At 44.4% G+C, this 18,069-nt stretch overlaps 1 protein-coding gene, 1 non-coding gene and 1 pseudogene across 21 annotated transcripts in view, besides 1 other annotated feature; 2 read left to right on the top strand and 1 right to left on the bottom strand.

Moving 5' to 3' along the window:
• Nucleotides 1-18,069, top strand: part of CLTCL1 (clathrin heavy chain like 1) — a 112,247-nt gene that overhangs the window by 41,220 nt on the left and 52,958 nt on the right. For 12 of the 20 annotated variants that reach the window (XM_017028956.3, XM_047441512.1, NM_001835.4 and 9 more), the window contains 7 exons: nucleotides 7,564-7,725; nucleotides 11,112-11,225; nucleotides 14,631-14,804; nucleotides 15,794-15,991; nucleotides 16,878-17,078; nucleotides 17,182-17,334; nucleotides 17,902-18,024. In XM_017028956.3, coding sequence (XP_016884445.1) covers nucleotides 7,564-7,725; nucleotides 11,112-11,225; nucleotides 14,631-14,804; nucleotides 15,794-15,991; nucleotides 16,878-17,078; nucleotides 17,182-17,334; nucleotides 17,902-18,024 — 1,125 coding nt within the window. The remainder of the gene's footprint in view (nucleotides 1-7,563; nucleotides 7,726-11,111; nucleotides 11,226-14,630; nucleotides 14,805-15,793; nucleotides 15,992-16,877; nucleotides 17,079-17,181; nucleotides 17,335-17,901; nucleotides 18,025-18,069) is intronic. The other 8 variants (XM_047441518.1, XM_047441516.1, XM_047441513.1 and 5 more) reach the window with 2 other exon arrangements.
• Nucleotides 534-660, bottom strand: LOC124900485 (small nucleolar RNA SNORA15). The gene has a single exon (XR_007068175.1). It is a non-coding gene; the product is annotated as a small nucleolar RNA SNORA15 (small nucleolar RNA).
• Nucleotides 11,761-12,057, top strand: RPL34P35 (ribosomal protein L34 pseudogene 35; annotated as a pseudogene).
• Nucleotides 16,073-17,272: an enhancer, noted in NCBI's record as "BRD4-independent group 4 enhancer chr22:19220751-19221950 (GRCh37/hg19 assembly coordinates)". NCBI's record gives its function as "activates an origin of replication core promoter dependent on BRD2, P300/CBP, MED14 and CDK7 cofactors, and independent of BRD4, by STARR-seq in HCT116 cells {active_cell/tissue: HCT116}" and the evidence as "EXISTENCE:reporter gene assay evidence [ECO:0000049][PMID:35650434]".

The raw sequence follows: 18,069 nt of genomic DNA, 5'->3' as shown, positions 1-18,069 counted from the left end.
TGGTGTGGTGGCATGCACCTGTAGTCCTGGCTACGTGGGAGGCTCAGGCAGGAGAATTGCTTGAGCCCAGGAGTTCAAGGTTACAGTGAGCCATGATCATGTCTTTGCATTCCAGCCTGGGCAATAGAACAAGACCCTGTCTCTAAAATTAAAAAAAAAAAAAAAAAAAGAACAGATGAGTCCCAGAAAAGTGATGTGCCCAAAAAACAGGTTTTGTTTTCCTTTCTTTTCTTTTTTTGTTTTTCTGAGACAGAGTCTCACTCTGTCACCCAGGCTGGAGTGCAGTGGCACGAACTCAGCTCACTGCAACCTCCACCTTCCAGATTCAAGTGATTCTCCTGCCTCAGCCACCCGAGTAGCTGGGACTACAGGTGTGTGCCACTATGCTCAGCTAATTTTTGCGTTTTTAGTAGAGACAGTGTTTCATCATGTTGGCCAGGCTGGTCTTGAACTCCTGACCTCAAGTGATCTGCCCACCTCGGCCTCCCAAAGTTCTGGGATTACAGGTGTGAGCCACCGCGCCCGGCCCATTTATTTGTATTCACCTTTAATAATAATATGCCACGAAAAACCTTAGCATACCATCAGTCATTCTAAAGGGAAGATTGCTTTTGCATGGTACCTGGCGATTTTTTTTTTAAGTTTCAAAATCAGCTTTGATGGTTTGTGAACAGGGTATGAAAGTTAATTTTCTGATTAAAGGGAAGGGAAACCAAATAAAAATTATCAAAACCTAGCCATACCATCAACTTAGAAATAAATTTAAATTTACTCAAGGTTATTTCTTTTTTTTTCTTTTCTTTTGAGACAGAGCCTTGCTCTGTTGTCCAGGCTGGAGTGCAATGGTGCGATCTCGGCTCACTGCAACCTCCACCTCCTGGGTTCAAGTGATTCTCCTATCTCAGCCTTCCAGGTAGCTGGGATTATAGATGTGCACCACCATGCCTGGCTAATTTTTTTTGTGTTTTTAGTAGAGACAGGGTTTCACCGTGTTGGCCAGGCTGGTCTCAAACTACTCAAGGTTATTTCTAATAAGTTATGAACATATTTCTCTGAATCAAAATAATATCAGTAGAGTGCAAATATATATTTTAAAAATTCATTAATTTTAATTTCTTAATTTTAATTTTTTTTATTTTTTGAGACAGGGTCTTGCTCTGTCGCTGAGGCTGGAGTGCAGTGGCACAATCTCGGCTCACTGCAACCTCCACCTCCCGGGTTCAAGCAATCCTCCTGCCTCAGCTTCCCGAGTAGCTGGGATTATAGGCACGTGCCACCACGCACTGCTAATTTTTGTATTTTTAGTAGAGATGGGGTTTCACCATGTTAGCCAGGATGGTCTCAAACTCCTGACCTCAAGTAATCCGCCCGCTTCGGCCTCCCAGAGTGCTGGGATTATAGGCATGATCATTTGAACTTATTCCTCCAGTCTAATCAAAGTGTTGTATCCCTTGTGGTCAATTGATTTTTGACAAGGTTGCCAAGACAGTTCAGTGAAAAAAAGAGGAGTTGTTCAATACAAGGTCTTGGGGCGCTGGACATTTATATGCAGAAGCATTAAATGGGACCTCTGTCTCATAATACTAAAAAACTCAAAATCGATCAGACCTAAATGTAAGAACTGAACCTATAAAACTCTTAGAAGGGCCAGGCACAGTGGCTCATGCCTGTAATCCCAGCACTTTGGGAGGGAGGCTGAGGCAGGCAGATCACCCTGTGGTCAGGATTTCAAGACCAGCCTGGCCAACATGGCGAAACCCCATCTCTACTAAAAATACATCATGAATGAACCTTGGAAATATTAAGCTAAGTGAAAGATGCCAGTCACAAAAGACCACATACTATATGATTCCATTTATTTGAAATGTTCAGGATAGTCTGACCTATAGACACAGAAAATAGATAAGTAGTTGCCTATGACTGGAGGTGGAGTCTGGGAGATAGGAATGAGGATTGAATGCTAATAGGGTTTCTTTCAAAGGATGAAAGTGTTCTAAAACTATGTTGTAGTGATGATTGCACAGCCCTCTGAGTATACGAAGAAACATTGGATGGTATGCTTTAAACCAGGGGTGTCTGATCTTTTGGATCCCCTGGGCCACACTGGAAGAAGAATTGTCTTGGGTCACACATAAAATACACTAGCAATAGCTGATGAGCTAAAAACAAAAATTGCAAAAAAATTCATAATTTTTTTTTTTTGAGACCGAGTTTTGCTCTTGTTGCCCAGGCTGGAGTGCAGTGGCATGGTCTTGGCTCACCGCAACCTCCGCCTCCCGGGTTCAAGCGATTCTACTGCCTCAGCCTTCCTGAATAACTGGGACTACAGGCATGCACCACCACACCTGGCTAATTTTGTATTTTTAGTAGTGATGGGGTTTCTCCATGTTGGTCAGTCTGGTCTCGAACTCCTGACCTCAGGTGATCTGCCTGCCTCGGCCTCCCAAAGTGCTGGGATTACAGGTGTGAGCCACCATGCCCAGCCAAAAGTTCATAATGCTTTAAGAAAGTTTATGAATTTGTGTTTGGGCCACATACAAGGCTATACTGGGCCACATGTTGGACAAGCTTGCTTTAAATAGATAAGTTCTATGGTATGTGAATTATATCTCAATTAAGCTTTTAAAAATACCCTTGGGGGCCAGGCACGGTGACTCACACCTTTAATCCCAGCACTTTGGGAGGCCAAGGCAGGAGGATCACCTGAAGTCAGGAGTTCGAGACCAGCCTGGCCAATGTGGTGAAACCCCGTCTTTACTAAAAATACAAAAATTAGCCGAGAGTTGTGGCATGTGCCTGTAATCCCAGCTACTTGGGAGGCTGAGGCGGGAGAATCGCCTGAACCCAGGATGCAGAGGTTGCAGTGAGCCGAGATCACACCATTGCACTCCAGCCTGGGCAACAAGAGTGGAACTCTGCCTCAAAAACAAAACAAAACAAAACAAATGACAACAACAACAACAAAATAAAAACTCTTGGGAATTATGCCTCTTTACAAAGAAATCATCATGTTTGAAGAATATAAAACAAAAATTATAAATCATAGTTACATGTATATGCTTTACTGACAAACTAAAAAACAACAAATAAAAAAATCCCATGCATTTACCAACAACAAAACACCTCATGGGCATAAGAATAGACATGTAGACCAATGGGAAAAAATGTAAGGTCCAGGAATACACCCCTACATCTGTGGCCAATTGATTTTTGATGAGAGTGTCAAGACTGTTCAATGGTGAAACAATAGTCTCTTCAGGAATGGTGCTGGGACAACTAAATATCCACATGCAAAAGAATGGAGTTGGTCACCTGCCTCACACCATGTACAAAAATAAACTCAAAATAGATCTGAAACCTCAATGTAGAAGGTAAAACTACAAAACTCTTAGAAGAAAACATAAGGAGAAAGCTTTATGACTTTGGATTTGGCATGGATTCTTAGATATATAATAGCACCAAAAGCCTGAACAACAAAATTAAAAAATAGATAATTTGGACTTCAGAATTAAAAACTTTTGTGCATAAAAGGATATTGCCAATAAAGTGAAAAGACAACCTGGGATGTAATATTTGAAAATCATCTATCTGATAAGGGTCTAGTATCCAGATATACAAAGAACACTTACAACTCAACAACAAAAAGTCAACCCAGTTAAAAAGTGGGCAAATGACTTGCTTGACATCATTAGCCATTAGGAAAATGCAATTCAAAACCACAATGAAGTACCACTTTACACCCACTCGAATGGTTATAATTTTTACAAAGTAGAAAATAAGTGTTGGCCCTGAGGTCAGGAGTTTGAGACCAGCCTGACCAACATGGAGAAACCCCATCTCTAGTAAAAATACAAAATTAGCCGGGTGTGGTGGTGCATGCCTTTAATCCCAGCTACTCCGGAGGCTGAGGCAGGAGAATTGCTTGAACCTGGAAGGCAGAGGTTGAAGTGAGCCGAGATCGCGCCATTGCACTCCAGCCTGGGCAACAAGAGCGAAACTCCATCTCAAAAAAAAGAAAAGAAAAGAAGTGTTGGCAATGTTATGGAGAAATTGGAACCCTCCTACATTAGTGGTAGGAATATAAAAATGTTCAGATGCTGTGGAAAGCAGTTTGGTGGTTCCTCAAAAAGTTAAACATAAGGCCAGGCGTGGTGGCTCACACCTGTAATCCCAGCACTTTGGGAGGCTGAGGCAGGTGGATCACGAGGTCAGGAGATCAAGACCATCCTGGCTAACACGGTGAAACCCTGTCTCTACTAAAAATACAAAAAAACTAGCCGGGCATGGTGGCAGGCGCCTGTAGTCCCAGCTACTTGGGAGGCTGAGGCAGGAGAATTGCGTGAACCCGGGAGGCAGAGCTTGCAGTGAGCCAAGATCGCACCACTGCACTCCAGCCTAAATGACAGAGGGAGACTCCATCTCAAAAAATAAAAAAAAGTTAAACACAGAATTACCATTTGACCCAGCAGTTCCACTGTTAGGTGTCTACCTAAGAGAAATGAAAATGTATCCACACAAAAACTTTTACACAGATATTCGTAATAGCATTTTTTATAATAACCAAAAGGTAGAAACAGCCCAAATGTTCACCAGCAAATGAGTGGATAAACAAGTTGTGGTGTATCCATACAGTGGGACATTATTTAACCCTAAAAATGAAGTACTGATACATGCTACACATAGGTAAACCTCAAAAACTTACTAAATGAAAAAAGTGAGGCACAAAAGGCCTCATATTTTATTGTTATTCCATTTATATGAAATATTTAGAATCAGTAAATCTATGGAGCTAGAAAGTAGGATTGGTGGCTGCTAGGGGACTTGGGTCAGGGGACTGGGGACTGACTAATGGGCACAGGAATTTCTTTTGGGTGATGAAAATGTTTTGGAACTATGATGAGGTTTTGGTTCCACACATTGCGAGTGTCCTAAATGCCATTCAATCATACACTTTAAAATGGTTCATTTTGTTTTGTGAATGTCACCTCAACATAAAAAGGGGAGGGGAAGCCAGGTGTGGTGGCTTACGCCTGTAATCCCAGCACTTTGGGAAGCCAAGGTGGACAGATCATGAGATCAGGAGTTTGAGATCAGCCAGGCCAACATACTGAAACCCCCTCTCTATTAAAAAGACAAAAATTAGCCAGGCATGCTTGCACGCGCCTGTGGTCCCAGTTACCCAGGAGGCTGAGGCAGGAGAATCGTTTGAACCCAGGAGGTGGAGGTTGTGGTGAGCCGAGGTCACGCCACTGCACTCCATCCTGGGTGAGAGAGAGCCAGACTCTGTCTCAAAAAAAAAAAAAAAAAAAAAAAGGAGGGGGAGAGGGGAACATGGGGCCATAGTTTGCCAACCCTGTCTAAGCATTTGCAAATACAGATGCCTGTTTCTGTTTGAAACAACTTCTGTTCCTGTCACCTGGTTAGCTCTTACTCCAGCTTAGGTGTCACTTTGGGAAGCCTCCCTGACTTACTGATCTTGGTGAGCTGATAAGGCATCTTGTTCTCTCCCATGCTGTAGCAATCAGCACTCTGTATTGCAGTTGCTTGTGTACTTGCCGGAAACTCTTACCATCTGTTCTTGAGAGAAGGACCTGTGTCATATTTTACTTATCCCTGGCCCCTAGCATGGTGCCTGGCACAATGAATGCATTTGCTCATTGAATCCTTGCCTGCTACAGTCCTTAACATGCCTTTACCAAAATTTGACACACTTAACACTCAGCAGCCCCATGAGGTGGGAAGGTAAGCCTGGCAGGTGCCTAAGACTTAGAAGCAGGACATCGGCCCAAGGCCACACACGTAGCCTAAGGTCTGGTCTCTCACCTTCACCTTGGCTGTTCTGTCTTCTCTGCCTCTTCGTCTTGGCTGCAGTTTAGGCTTCGTTTAGGTATCTGTACCTTTAGGACTCAAATGTGCTATCATCATGTTGCTGGAAGTCTTCCCACAGTCTCTTGGGGAGGGTGAGTTTTGTCCTGTCTTTGGATTCTCATTTTTACCTTTCCATGCTCATTTTTCTGTTAAAACACAGACCACTTATCTGCTGGTTTACTCCTTATTTCTCCCTATTACCAGCCTTTGGCAACCACTAATCTATTTTCTGTCTCAATAAATTTTCCTTTTCTGGATATTTCATAGGTGGAATCAGACAATATGCAGCCTTTCATGCCTGGCTTCTTTCCTTAGCATGTTTTCAAGGTTCATCCATGTGGTAGCATGTGTCAGTACTTTGCTTAATAACGTTAACAGAAATCTGTGCAATAGAAAATATTTTTAAAGACAAAGTTGAAGCCTTTGTTATCCCATTTTAAGGAGTTGTGAGTGAGTGAGGAATAGACTGAGGATTTTACCCACGACTATATGTGAGCTCACTCAGCAGAGAGGATTGAATGTTTAATTACAGGAGCTTGAACTGGGACCCTTTTGTATTCCATTCACTTAGCTTTTTGAGCATTTGACATTGGATATAAATGTACTGAAATTCTTTAGTAGAAAATATAAGTTCTGGCTGGGCATGGTGGCTCAAGCCTGTAATCCCAGCATTTTGGGAGGCTGAGGCAGGCAGATCACGACGTCAGGATATCGAGACCATCCTGGCCAACATGGTGAAACCCCGTCTCTACTAAAAATACAAAAAATTAGCCAGGCATGGTGGCGGGCGCCTATAGTCCCAGCTACTCAGGAGGCTGAGGCAGGAGAATGGCGTGAACCCAGGAGGCGAAGCTTGCAGTGAGCCGAGATCACGCCACTGCACTCCAGCCTGGGTGACAGAGCAAGACTCCATCACAAAAAAAAAAAAAAAAAAGAAAGAAAGAAAGAAAATACAAGTTCTAAGTTTTATAAAAGATATTAGTCTTACTGGTTTGGGGGTTTTGGTTTTTTTGGAGACAGAGTCTTGCTCTGCCACCCAGGCTGCAGTGCAGTGCTGCAGTCATAGCTCACTGCAACCTCAAACTTCTTGGCCCAAGCAATCCCCCTGCCTTGGCCTCCCGAGTAGCTAAGACAACAGGCGCATGCCACCATGACCAGCTAATTTTCTTATTTTTTTGTAGAGATGGCGTCTTGCTATGTTGCCCAGACTAGTCTTGAACTCTCGGCCTCAAGTGATTCTCCCAAGGTGCTAGGATTGCAGGTGTGAGCCACTGTGCTGGCCTTATTGGTTTTTATTAAATACAATTTTTGCTACTTAGAAATTTCAGAAAACACAATTTTCAAAATTACCTGTGATTGCATCCCCCGATTTAACTACTATTAATGCTTTAGAGTTTTTCCTCCAAAGTGCACGAGTTACTTTCCATGAAAAAATGCTCTCACACTTACTATATTTAACAAATTAGGTTTGTCCATCTTACTTTTTTGTGGTCTTATTTTTTTCCATAGTGTTTGCCATCTTTCCACATAAAATTCAGAGTGATATCATGCCTTTAATAGCTAATACATTTAATTTTTACTAGAGGAAGTATACCTCTAATGTATGAGACTTTCATTTTAGAAATATATTTTAAGAATTGTTTCTTTATATTCCTCTCTTTTCTCTCCCTTTCATTGCATAATATCTTTTCTTAGCAAAACCGTGTGGTTGGAGCAATGCAGCTCTACTCTGTGGATAGGAAGGTTTCACAACCCATAGAAGGCCATGCTGCGGCTTTTGCAGAGTTCAAGATGGAGGGGAATGCCAAGCCTGCCACCCTTTTCTGCTTTGCTGTACGTAATCCCACAGGAGGCAAGGTAAGATCCACTCTACTGTCTTCTCCCTGAGAAAAGTGTCATGAGCTGGTGTTAGGGGTGTGCGTGTGTGTGGCTGGGCATGGCCTGCAGATGTCTGTGTGAGGAAAGGTTCATGGTGGTGTTGAGAACTGTGCACCGTGATGCACATGATTAAGTGGCCCCATTCCCCTAAAAAATCCTCAGGCTGGGCGCGGTGGCTCACGCCTGTAATCCAACACTTTGGGAGGCCGAAGAGGGTGGATCACGAGGTCAGGAGTTCAAGAACAGCCTGGCCAACGTGGTGAAACCCCGTCTCTACTAAAAATACAAACATTAACTGGGCATGGTGGCGCATTCTTATAAACCCAGCTACTTGGGAGGCTGAGGTAGGAGAATTGCTTGAACTGGGACCTGCAAGGCAGAGGTTGCAGTGAGTCGAGATCGCACCACTACACTCCTGCTTGGGCTACACAGTGAGACTCCGTCTCAAAAGAAAAAAAAAAAATCCTTCCACACAGACTAGACTGAAATGCACTCTAAAGGTAAGTGAGGCAGCCAGGTGCGGTAGCTCACACCTGTAATCCTAGCAGTTTGGGAGGCCGAGGTGGGTGGATTGCCTGAGCTCAGGAGTTCTACACCAGCCTGGACAATACAGCGAAACCCCATCTCTATTAAAATATAAAAAATTAGCCGGGCCTGGCTGTGTGCGCTTGTAGTCCCAGCTACTCAGGAGGCTGAGGCAGGAGAATTGCTTGAACCTAGGAGGCAGAGGTTGCAGTGAGCCGAGATCGCGCCACTGCACTCCAGCCTGGGCGACAGAGCGAGACTCCATCTCCAAAAAAAAAAAAAAAAAAGGTAGATGAGGCACAGTTTCTGCTCTTGGGGAGATGACTGTGAAATCACCAGTGTGGTGCCATCCTTGCCATTAGCATGGTTCTTCCCAGGTGGTTGGGAGGCGCCTCAGGGAGGCTCCAGAGAGATTGAGACTGTGCCCAGGAGCCAGTGGGTTTTATTAGGCTCAGGGACATGGCCAGCGGCTGCTCGGCAGGGCTGCCATGGGCAGAGGTGAGGAGACAGAAGAGCTTGTGATGTCAGGGAGACCTTGGGTTCCGCCATTGTGGTCTCAGCCACTTGGAGAGCTGCTTCAAGACAGTCGTCTTGTGAAAAACACTTTCTCAAACCATAATTTTGGGTTGTTCGTTAGCCCCGAAATATTCCCCAAGGCAGAGGAGTTCTCAATTAGAATGTGGCTTTACAAACTTCCTCATCTGAAATACACTGAATACTTTGGCCTCCTGTTGAGTAACATACTTCATGCCCTCCTCATTTGAGAGCCAGAAGGAAAAGGACTCGGGTCACGTGTCAGCCTTGTTGCTGATGAAGGACACTGACTTTAGTTATGTGGCTCAAAGAGCTTGCTCCCATATTCCCTCAGAGTGAGGCACACCTCTCCTTTACAGATGCAGCAGGGCAGCGACAGGCCTCCCTCTGAGGAGCAGAGCCTGCCTCACAGAGTGCCCTGTGGAGAAGAGCACTTCCCAGAGCGGGGCTCTGTACACAGACGGCAGCCCCAAGAAGAGAAGGGGCTGGGGGTTCTCTCTACACCTAGCTTTCTGGTGGGCATGCCCCTCCAGCCGAGCTGGAGATGGACCAGGAGGTCTTCTGTGACCCAGAGAGCCTGGGAAATGCGGTTTCCTGACAGTACCTGTCCTGGAGCGGCCCTGTGTCTTGTGGCAGACTCGGTCCTCCCGGCTGCAGGGTGGGTGTGGGGTCCTGGGAGGGTGCCCGCCCCGCCTGTGCCCAGGCATGCACCTTCCTTTCAGGACTCACCTGTCCTTTTGGGACTGGCCAGCTGTCTCCACATGTGGGGCGGAGCTTGCCTGGACACAGTTCTTTTCTGCCAACCTCCTCCTGCTGCTGCCCTGAGAGCCTGGTGTCCTTTCTGTGCCTCTGCTCCTGCTGGCAGTGTCACCCTTCTCAGCTCCCGAGCAAGAACCCATAGCAGTCAAGCCCCATTCTATTCTCTCGTCACTGTCTGACCTTTAACAAGTCCCACATCTGACTTACCCTTTTGTGGTACACTAAGCCTTTCTCACCTCACATTTGGGTTACAGAATAGCCATTTATTAGGTCCTCAGACCTGCTTCACGCCTTCTTACCAATAGGCCTAGCCAGATAATTTTCCTAAACTACCTTTTATCTGCCTTAAAGCTCCCAGTGCAAGACTTTTCTATTCCCCATCCACAGACTTCTGTCCCCACAGGAGCACCCACATGCTTGCCGCTCAGCCTCCCCCATTGGCCCGGCTCTCAGTGCTGCTCCCCTCCTTATCTGAGCCCCTTTGGTGTTTCCCTCCTCTCTCTGCCCGGCCAAACCCAGACCGCAAACCCAGACTGCCCCTCCACAGACACCCTTGTCTGTGTCCTCTAAGCCCAGCCTCCCGCCCTTGTTTTGTGTCTCTTACCCTTCATTTTGGATTTTGTTGTGGACTTGTGTTAGTTATAATATTTTTTCTTTAGATGAAAGTTATGGTGGCTGGGCGTGGTGGCTCGTGCCTGTAATCCCAGCATTTTGGGAGGCCGAGGTGGGGTTGGATTACCCGAGGTGGGGTCGGGAGTTTGAGACCAGCCTGGCCAACATAGCGAAACCCCATCTCTACTAAAAATACAAAGTTTAGCCGGGTGTGGTGGCATGCATCTGTAATCTGTAATCTCAGCTACTTGGGAGGCTGAGGCACGAGAATCGCTTGAACCCGGGAGGCAGAGGTTTCAATGAGCTGAGATCGCGCCACTGCACTCCAGCCTGAGCGACAGAGCGAGACTCCATCTTAAAAAAAAAAAAAAAAAAGAAGAAAAAGAAAGTTATAGGGAAGGCACTGGCATAGGTCAGGAACTTGGAGCTGTTCTCATAAGGCAGGGATGGGCTCCCTCATCAGATTCTTACCCCCGCCCAGCACAACCTTGAAAACCTCAGGCCTGTGCCATGGTGAGGATGTCTCGTGAGTTTCGCCTCCAGTGATGAGATCTTGCACTAACAGGCTTGTATGAGTCTGGGCCATACCCAGAAAGGCAGAGAGCAGAGTTGGAAGGGACAGCAGATTCTGACTGGAGCCCTTTGTTTCATCGGCATCCAGGCCCGGGGAGGGGAAGTGACTCTGCCACTGTGCTGGAACTGAGGCTCCAGGCTGCCTGGCATTGGCCCTTTGTGCCATGCTTGGTGGTGGGCAGCAGGTTATTGGATAATCACAGGCACTCCGACAAGGGGGTTGTTCTGCTTTGGTTGAATGTGACTTTTAGCGTTAATCATCCAGTGTGTGGAGCTGAGGCTCCACTTGCCTCTGTGCCTTGACTAGCACTTGCCCACCACCACAGGCGGTCCCCTTGATTGACCTAAAATCTCTCTTCTAGTTGCACATCATTGAAGTTGGACAGCCTGCAGCGGGAAACCAACCTTTTGTAAAGAAAGCAGTAGATGTGTTTTTTCCTCCAGAGGCACAGAATGATTTTCCAGTGGCTATGCAGGTACGAATGTGCTGCTCTCTAAACATCTTCATGTCCTAAAATCTACTCTAGCACCTCCCAAGATACAGGAGGCTGCCATTTTTAGTCTGCTTCTGCTGTCTCCTGCCACTGTGATGCTTTCAAACCCATTTAGAGGCCTAAGGCTTTGGCGTGTGAGCTGGGAAAGCCCTGTTCGTAGAAAGGAATGCCCGGCATGAGGGTGAGTTAGGGCAGCAGGAAGACGTTGCCAAGTCACACATCAAAGTCCTCAGCTCTTTCCTTCTTATTATAAAAGATTAGATGTTCACTGTGGTATGAGAATATTTAAAGAATAAAATACCTAATGTAGGTGACGGGTTAATGGGTGCAACAAACCACCAGGGCACGTGTATACCTGTGTAACAAAACTGCACGTTCTGCACATGTAACCCAGAACTTATAATAATAAAAAAAAGAATAAAACACTTATTTCCTTTACAATTGGCTGCCATTGAGGGAGCCTAGAGCTCCCAGGGACAGTCCTTTGAGCTGGCATTCAGAATGGCCCAGCCTTTGACACGCAGCCTCTAGTGAAACTAGGTAGTCCCAAGCCCCTGGTGGGAGAATTATTCACCTTTACATCAAGAAGGTTGGGAAAACACCTGAACCTGCATGTGGCATGTGCCTAGCCAGACTTCGAGGAGTTCGTGCTATGAGACCTGAAGTTCTTGTGAGGTTCCCTAAAACAGAAACACATGTCAGCAGGGCCTGTGGTGGTTCCGTGTGTGCTAAGTGTGTTCGTGACAGGATCAAGTGTGCTTTCCTTATTGAGGAGCAGAATATTGTTGTGGAAGTGTCAAAGGCACAGAGTCAGAAAACATTCCTCTGTAGATAAACCAGTTGGATGTAAAATATATAAGAAATCTTGGCCGGGCGCGTTGGCTCACACCTGTCATCTTAGCACTTTGGGAGGCCGAGGCGGGCAGATTGCCTGAGCTCAGGAGTTCGACGCCAGCCTGGGCAACATGGTGAAACCCCGTCTCTACTAAAATATAAAAAATTAACTGGGCATGGCGGTGTGCACCTGTAGTCCCAGCTACATGGGATGCTGAGGCAGGAGAATTTCTAGAACCCAGGAGGCAGAGAGTGCAGTGAGGCAAGATCACACCACTGCATGCCACTGCACCGCGGCCTGGAGCAAGACTTCATTTCCAAAAAATAAATAAATAAATAAATAAGAATAAAAATAAAAAATCTTACAATTTGTTTTATAAAAAATTTAGATCTATACCTTTTCTGAACAAAATTGGCATCACATTATATATGTAAGATTATATAATCTACTCTCCTTTTTACTCTTTTGTTCTCATAAAATATATGTTATCTGTACATTTCTAATAATATCAATAAATGTAACAGCAGGATTAAATATCACCTGAAATCCTAGCACTGCTGATAATTTGGCTACCCCTTTGGAAGTAACTTAACATGCATACATTTGTGCAGATTTATACAGATGGACTCTTATGAAAATGGCTCTGCACTAGCCTTGCTGCTGTATAAACTCCTCTAGCTATGTTGTAGATCATTCTGTTCCAGTAACATAATGTATGTATTTTATTGTCTGTGTCATCTGTTCTGTGGATTTGCTACAACTCATTTAAACAATCCCCTGTTGATTGGTATTTACATTTACAAGAAACACTATAAGGAACATTGTGCTCCATACATCTTTGTATGTTAGTCTAAAAGTCCGAGGATAAATTCCTAGAAATTAAACTGCTGGGTCAGGGGCACACTCTCATCACAGACTCTCCTGACCATGCTGGCCAGTTCACATTCCTACTGATGCTGCCGGTGGTAGCTGGACAGCATCCCATGTTGTGATGTCTTTCCCTTGGTTACCATCAAGGCAGAATTGATGTATCAGCCACTCATATGTATCCGGTTAATTGCCTTTTCCTAATCTTTGCATTTTTTTTCTATTGGGATCTTTTTTTAAAAAGTAGAGATGGGGTCTTGCTATGTTGCCTAGGCCAGTCTTGAACTCCTGGCCTCGAGCGATCTTCCTGCCTCAGCCTCCCAAGCAGCTGGGGTTACAGGTGTGTGTCACTGTGCCCAACTCCAGGATTTTTACCTTATTCGTAAGAGCTTTTTGTACTTGTAGAGTACTAAGTGTCTGATGTATTTTGAATATTTTTCCCAGTCGTAATTTGTGATATGTGGCACCTTATGGAAGTGCTGCATTTTTGTGTGGCAGTGGTATCATGTTTTGAGACTAATTCTGCACCTGAAGATGATCACAACATTTACCTATATTTTCTTTCATTCCTATCCTAATTGTCCTTGTTTTTTATTTAAAATCTTTGACCCATCTGGAATTTACTTTGATCTAAAGAGTAAGATAGAAATTCAGTTCTTTACTCTTACCTCCATCTCCAGATAGCTAGCTAACTATATTAATAATATATGTTATATATTGATTAAAGTGCCTATTTTCCACTAATATGTTACCTACTAATTATTTATTTTTCTAGAGTTGGAGTCTTGCTACGTTGCCCAGGTTTGACTCAAACTCCTGGGCTCAAGTGATCCTCCTGCCTTGGCTTCCCAAGTAGCTGGGACTATAGTCATTAGCCACCACACACTCATTCTTAATAAATTCTCATATATGATTCATTCTCTTTCAGGGCTCTTAATTATTTTCTCTCTCTGTCTCTTCCAGTGGTAAAATCATACTTCAAAAATTACTGTCTGTTTTAATATATATGTTTAATAATCTGGTTGGGCAAATGCATCTGTTTTTTCTCCCCAGCCCCTTCAGGTTTTCTTGTGTGTTAAATATTTTTCTGTAAAAGTTAATAGCATTTGGCAAAACTCAAAGGTTAATAAGTGGTGGTAGAAGGCATGCTGGAACATCATCTTGGCGTTTGAGGTCTTTGTCCAGAACTTTCCCCTTCTCTTATGAACTCACAGCTTGCTTAAAGGGGTTCGATAAACTGTGAAAGGATCGCTCTACCTGAAAGATAAATGGAGTAGCCTGAGTTTATTGGACCTTTATTTGAGAGTGGTTGGACAAAATATTGTCTTTAAAACTAATTCTCAATCAAGTACAACTTAGAATCCATGTCTCAGGAAAGCATTGCTCCCACCAGTAATCTCTCGGCCTGAGAAACTGAAGAATCCTTGTATAGCTAGGTGTGGCAGCTCACACTTGTAGTCCCAGCTACATTGGAGGCTGAGATGGGAGGATCACCTGAGCCCAGAGGTCGGAAGTTGCAGTGAGCTATGGTGGCACCACTACACTCCAGCCTGGGTGACAGAGCACGACCCTATCTCAAAAAACAAACAAACAAACAAGAATCCTCTTTATCATTTGTGAGCTCTTTTTACCCGCATGGCTTCTCCTCCTTACTTTCCAACCTCTTGCTCTCTGTCTTCTTATAGATTGGAGCTAAACATGGTGTTATTTACTTGATCACAAAGTATGGCTATCTTCATCTGTACGACCTAGAGTCTGGCGTGTGCATCTGCATGAACCGTATTAGTGCTGACACAATATTTGTCACTGCTCCACACAAACCAACCTCTGGAATTATTGGTGTCAACAAAAAGGGACAGGTGTGTAACTCTGACATTTCATTTTCTACCTTTTCCATTCATTAGGGACTGGCGTTTAAACTTTCCCCCTTCTCTAGGAAAGCAGCTGGGTGTAGCTATTAATAGTTCCTGTTATTAAACTTAAACCCATGTCTCCTCCTTCATATTGACACTTCCTCTCTTCAGACAGCACCATTCCTAACACAGGATTGATTCCAGGAGGAGAGCAGCTCCTTCCTGCGTATAGAACAGCAGTTCTGATGCACATCATCTTTATACCATGCACACCCTAACTGGGGAGGGTTGAAAAAGCAGATACTATGGTATTTAAGTAACTTTTCTCAACCATAGTTGAAAAAGATAGTTAAAAGAAGAAACTCTTGGCTGGGCACAATAGTTTATGCCTGTAATCCCAACTGCATGGGAGGTTGAGGCAGGAGGATGGCTTGAGCCCAGGAGTTTGAGGCTGCAGTGAGCTGTGATCACACCATTGCACTCCAGCCTGGGTGAAACAGTGAGAGCCTGTCTCAGGGGAAAAAAAAAAAAAAGTCGGGAACAGTGGCTGATTCCTATAATCCCAGCACTTTGGAAGGCTGAGACAGGAGGATTGCTTGAGGCTAGGAGTTTGAATCCAGCCTGAGCGACATAGTAAGACCCTGTCTCTACAAAAATATTTTTTAAAAAAGAAAGAAACTCTGTACTTTAAAAATAAAAAGTTTAAGAAGAAAAATTGTCAGTTCCATCCACATAGGTCATTTTGCTGTAGCGCAGAACGCATCACACTTATCTGTGTGACTTTAATAACTACATAGACTCCTATGCTGTTCTGTTTTGTTACCATTTGGCTTTCGGCTGCTTTGCCTCCTTTCACTGTGAGGGCCACCATCACAGGTGTGCTCAACACTCGCCTGAGAATGTGGCTACCACTCCAGCATCGGAAGGGAACATGGCAGAGGGATGGTGGAGCACTCTTCTAGGCCGGGCTGCTCTCACTTGTTGTGTCCTTACAGGTACTGTCAGTTTGTGTTGAGGAAGATAACATTGTGAATTATGCAACCAACGTGCTTCAGAATCCAGACCTTGGTCTGCGTTTGGCCGTTCGTAGTAACCTGGCTGGGGCAGAGAAGTTGTTTGTGAGAAAATTCAATACCCTCTTTGCACAGGGCAGCTATGCTGAAGCCGCCAAAGTTGCAGCGTCTGCACCAAAGGTGATAAACCTTGAATACTGTTCAAGTGTTCTGAGTGTTAAGAACCAACCTTGAGAGGAAAATAAGTCATAAAAGCATTTCACTAGTGATATTGCAGTCTATTAGTGTTATGTTAGGAGTTTTTAGTTTAAAATTTTTGCACCAATGGCATAACAGTAAAGGAAGTAAACAAAAAACACACTCTTGCTGCATCGGCACTTCTTCACGCCTCCCACTTTGTGTGCATACGTACCTCTCACCCAACAGCTTAGATACAGTTTCACATTTCTGTAACTTAGCATTTTCCACTCTTGCTACCTGGTTGTCAAATATGCAACTGTACAATACATCAAGTGGTTGTTCCCTGTTTTATCTAGCGATAGTCCTACCCTGGACTTTCTCCACTCTTTTAGAATATAGCATTTCGGCATATGGCTTTTTCTTGGGTTTATTTCATTTGGATAAATTGTTCAGAGACTGGATCTGTTCCTGAGTAGATAAAGACTTTCAAGTTGCTTGTCCTTGAAAGAATTTTTCTTGTCTTTCAAGGGGTAGTTGTGAACAAACCATTTCTAGCCTTCATCTGTGAATTTGAGTATTTTGAATTAGAATATAATGATAGCAGAACTTCACTACTACAAGACTGATTGAGAGGCCGAATTCTTACTGCAGCATGCTGGGGGAGAAGTAAGACCCTAAGTGTGAAGCCACCTGGAGGACCTAGATTCCCCTATACTTATGGTTATTGTTGAAGATAGAAGCAGTTGCCTTGGTAGAGGACTTTTTGTCTATGACAGAGCAGTGTGGAATTTCCACTGGCAGATTTTTGTTTTTACATACAAGGAAGTTGAGTGAAGGGATCCCCTGTGATTACAACACAATGACCTATTTTTCCATTTATTATTAGGGAATCCTGCGTACCAGAGAGACGGTCCAGAAATTCCAGAGTATACCCGCTCAGTCTGGCCAGGCTTCTCCATTGCTGCAGTACTTCGGAATCCTGCTCGACCAGGGTCAGCTCAATAAACTTGAATCCTTAGAACTTTGCCATCTGGTTCTTCAGCAGGGGCGTAAGCAACTCCTAGAGAAGTGGCTGAAAGAAGATAAGGTAGAAACACTTGTGAGCTCGTAGCCCCCCCGCACAGCTTGAAAACTTGGTCCAGGCTCCCTACCTGCCTCCTAACTTTGCCTTGTCCCTTGGCATACCACAGCTGGAGTGCTCAGAGGAGCTCGGAGACTTGGTCAAAACCACTGACCCCATGCTCGCTCTGAGTGTGTACCTTCGGGCAAATGTGCCAAGCAAAGTGATCCAGTGTTTTGCAGAAACAGGCCAATTCCAGAAAATTGTGCTCTATGCCAAAAAGGTAACGTGTGTTGAACCACTGGCATCTCACAGATTACTCACGTGTGGTTGAGTGGTTGCTGATTTTAAAGTTTATAAAATACCCTTCTTTGTAAGTCCTCTGGTGTGAGAGTTGGCAATGTTGCTGTTAGGATCTTTATTCATAATGATCATATTTTATTCTCTTCAGCTTTTTATTATCCTTAGTTTTCCAGTCCTTCCATCTTCGTTTTATTTGGGAGCTTTATCTTGTTTTTTCTCTCCCTCTCTTCCTTCTGTATGTTAATTTGATATTTTGGCAGACTCCCAGATCTTATCCCTGTGTGCTTACTGGCAGGCTGTGTTTGCACACAGATCAGGAAACTTCTTTGTGGTCTGGGCTCTTTGTATAGTTAATTGTGCCTTCCATGTACATTAAATCAATTCATTTAATTGGATATTGTGTTTGGCAGAAGGTGGTACCTACACATGATAATGTTGCTGCTCATTTCTTTGTTAACACGAGTTTAAAACAAAGGATGGATAACTTCCTTTTCTAATGCCCAGGGTTTTTCATTGATTTTCCTGATTGGTGCTCCCTTGCTTCTAGGTTGGGTACACCCCAGACTGGATCTTTCTGCTGAGGGGTGTAATGAAGATCAGTCCGGAACAGGGCCTGCAGTTTTCTCGAATGCTAGTGCAGGACGAGGAGCCGCTGGCCAACATTAGCCAGGTGAGCGTAGGCAGTTTTGGACAACTTTTTGTGGCTTTTTAGAGC

The sequence above is a fragment of the Homo sapiens genome, chromosome 22, assembly GCF_000001405.40.
Source record: "Homo sapiens chromosome 22, GRCh38.p14 Primary Assembly".
NCBI lineage: Eukaryota > Metazoa > Chordata > Mammalia > Primates > Hominidae > Homo > Homo sapiens.
The sequence above is the reverse complement of the archived record's forward strand: the minus strand, read 5'-3'. Positions and strand labels throughout refer to the sequence as shown.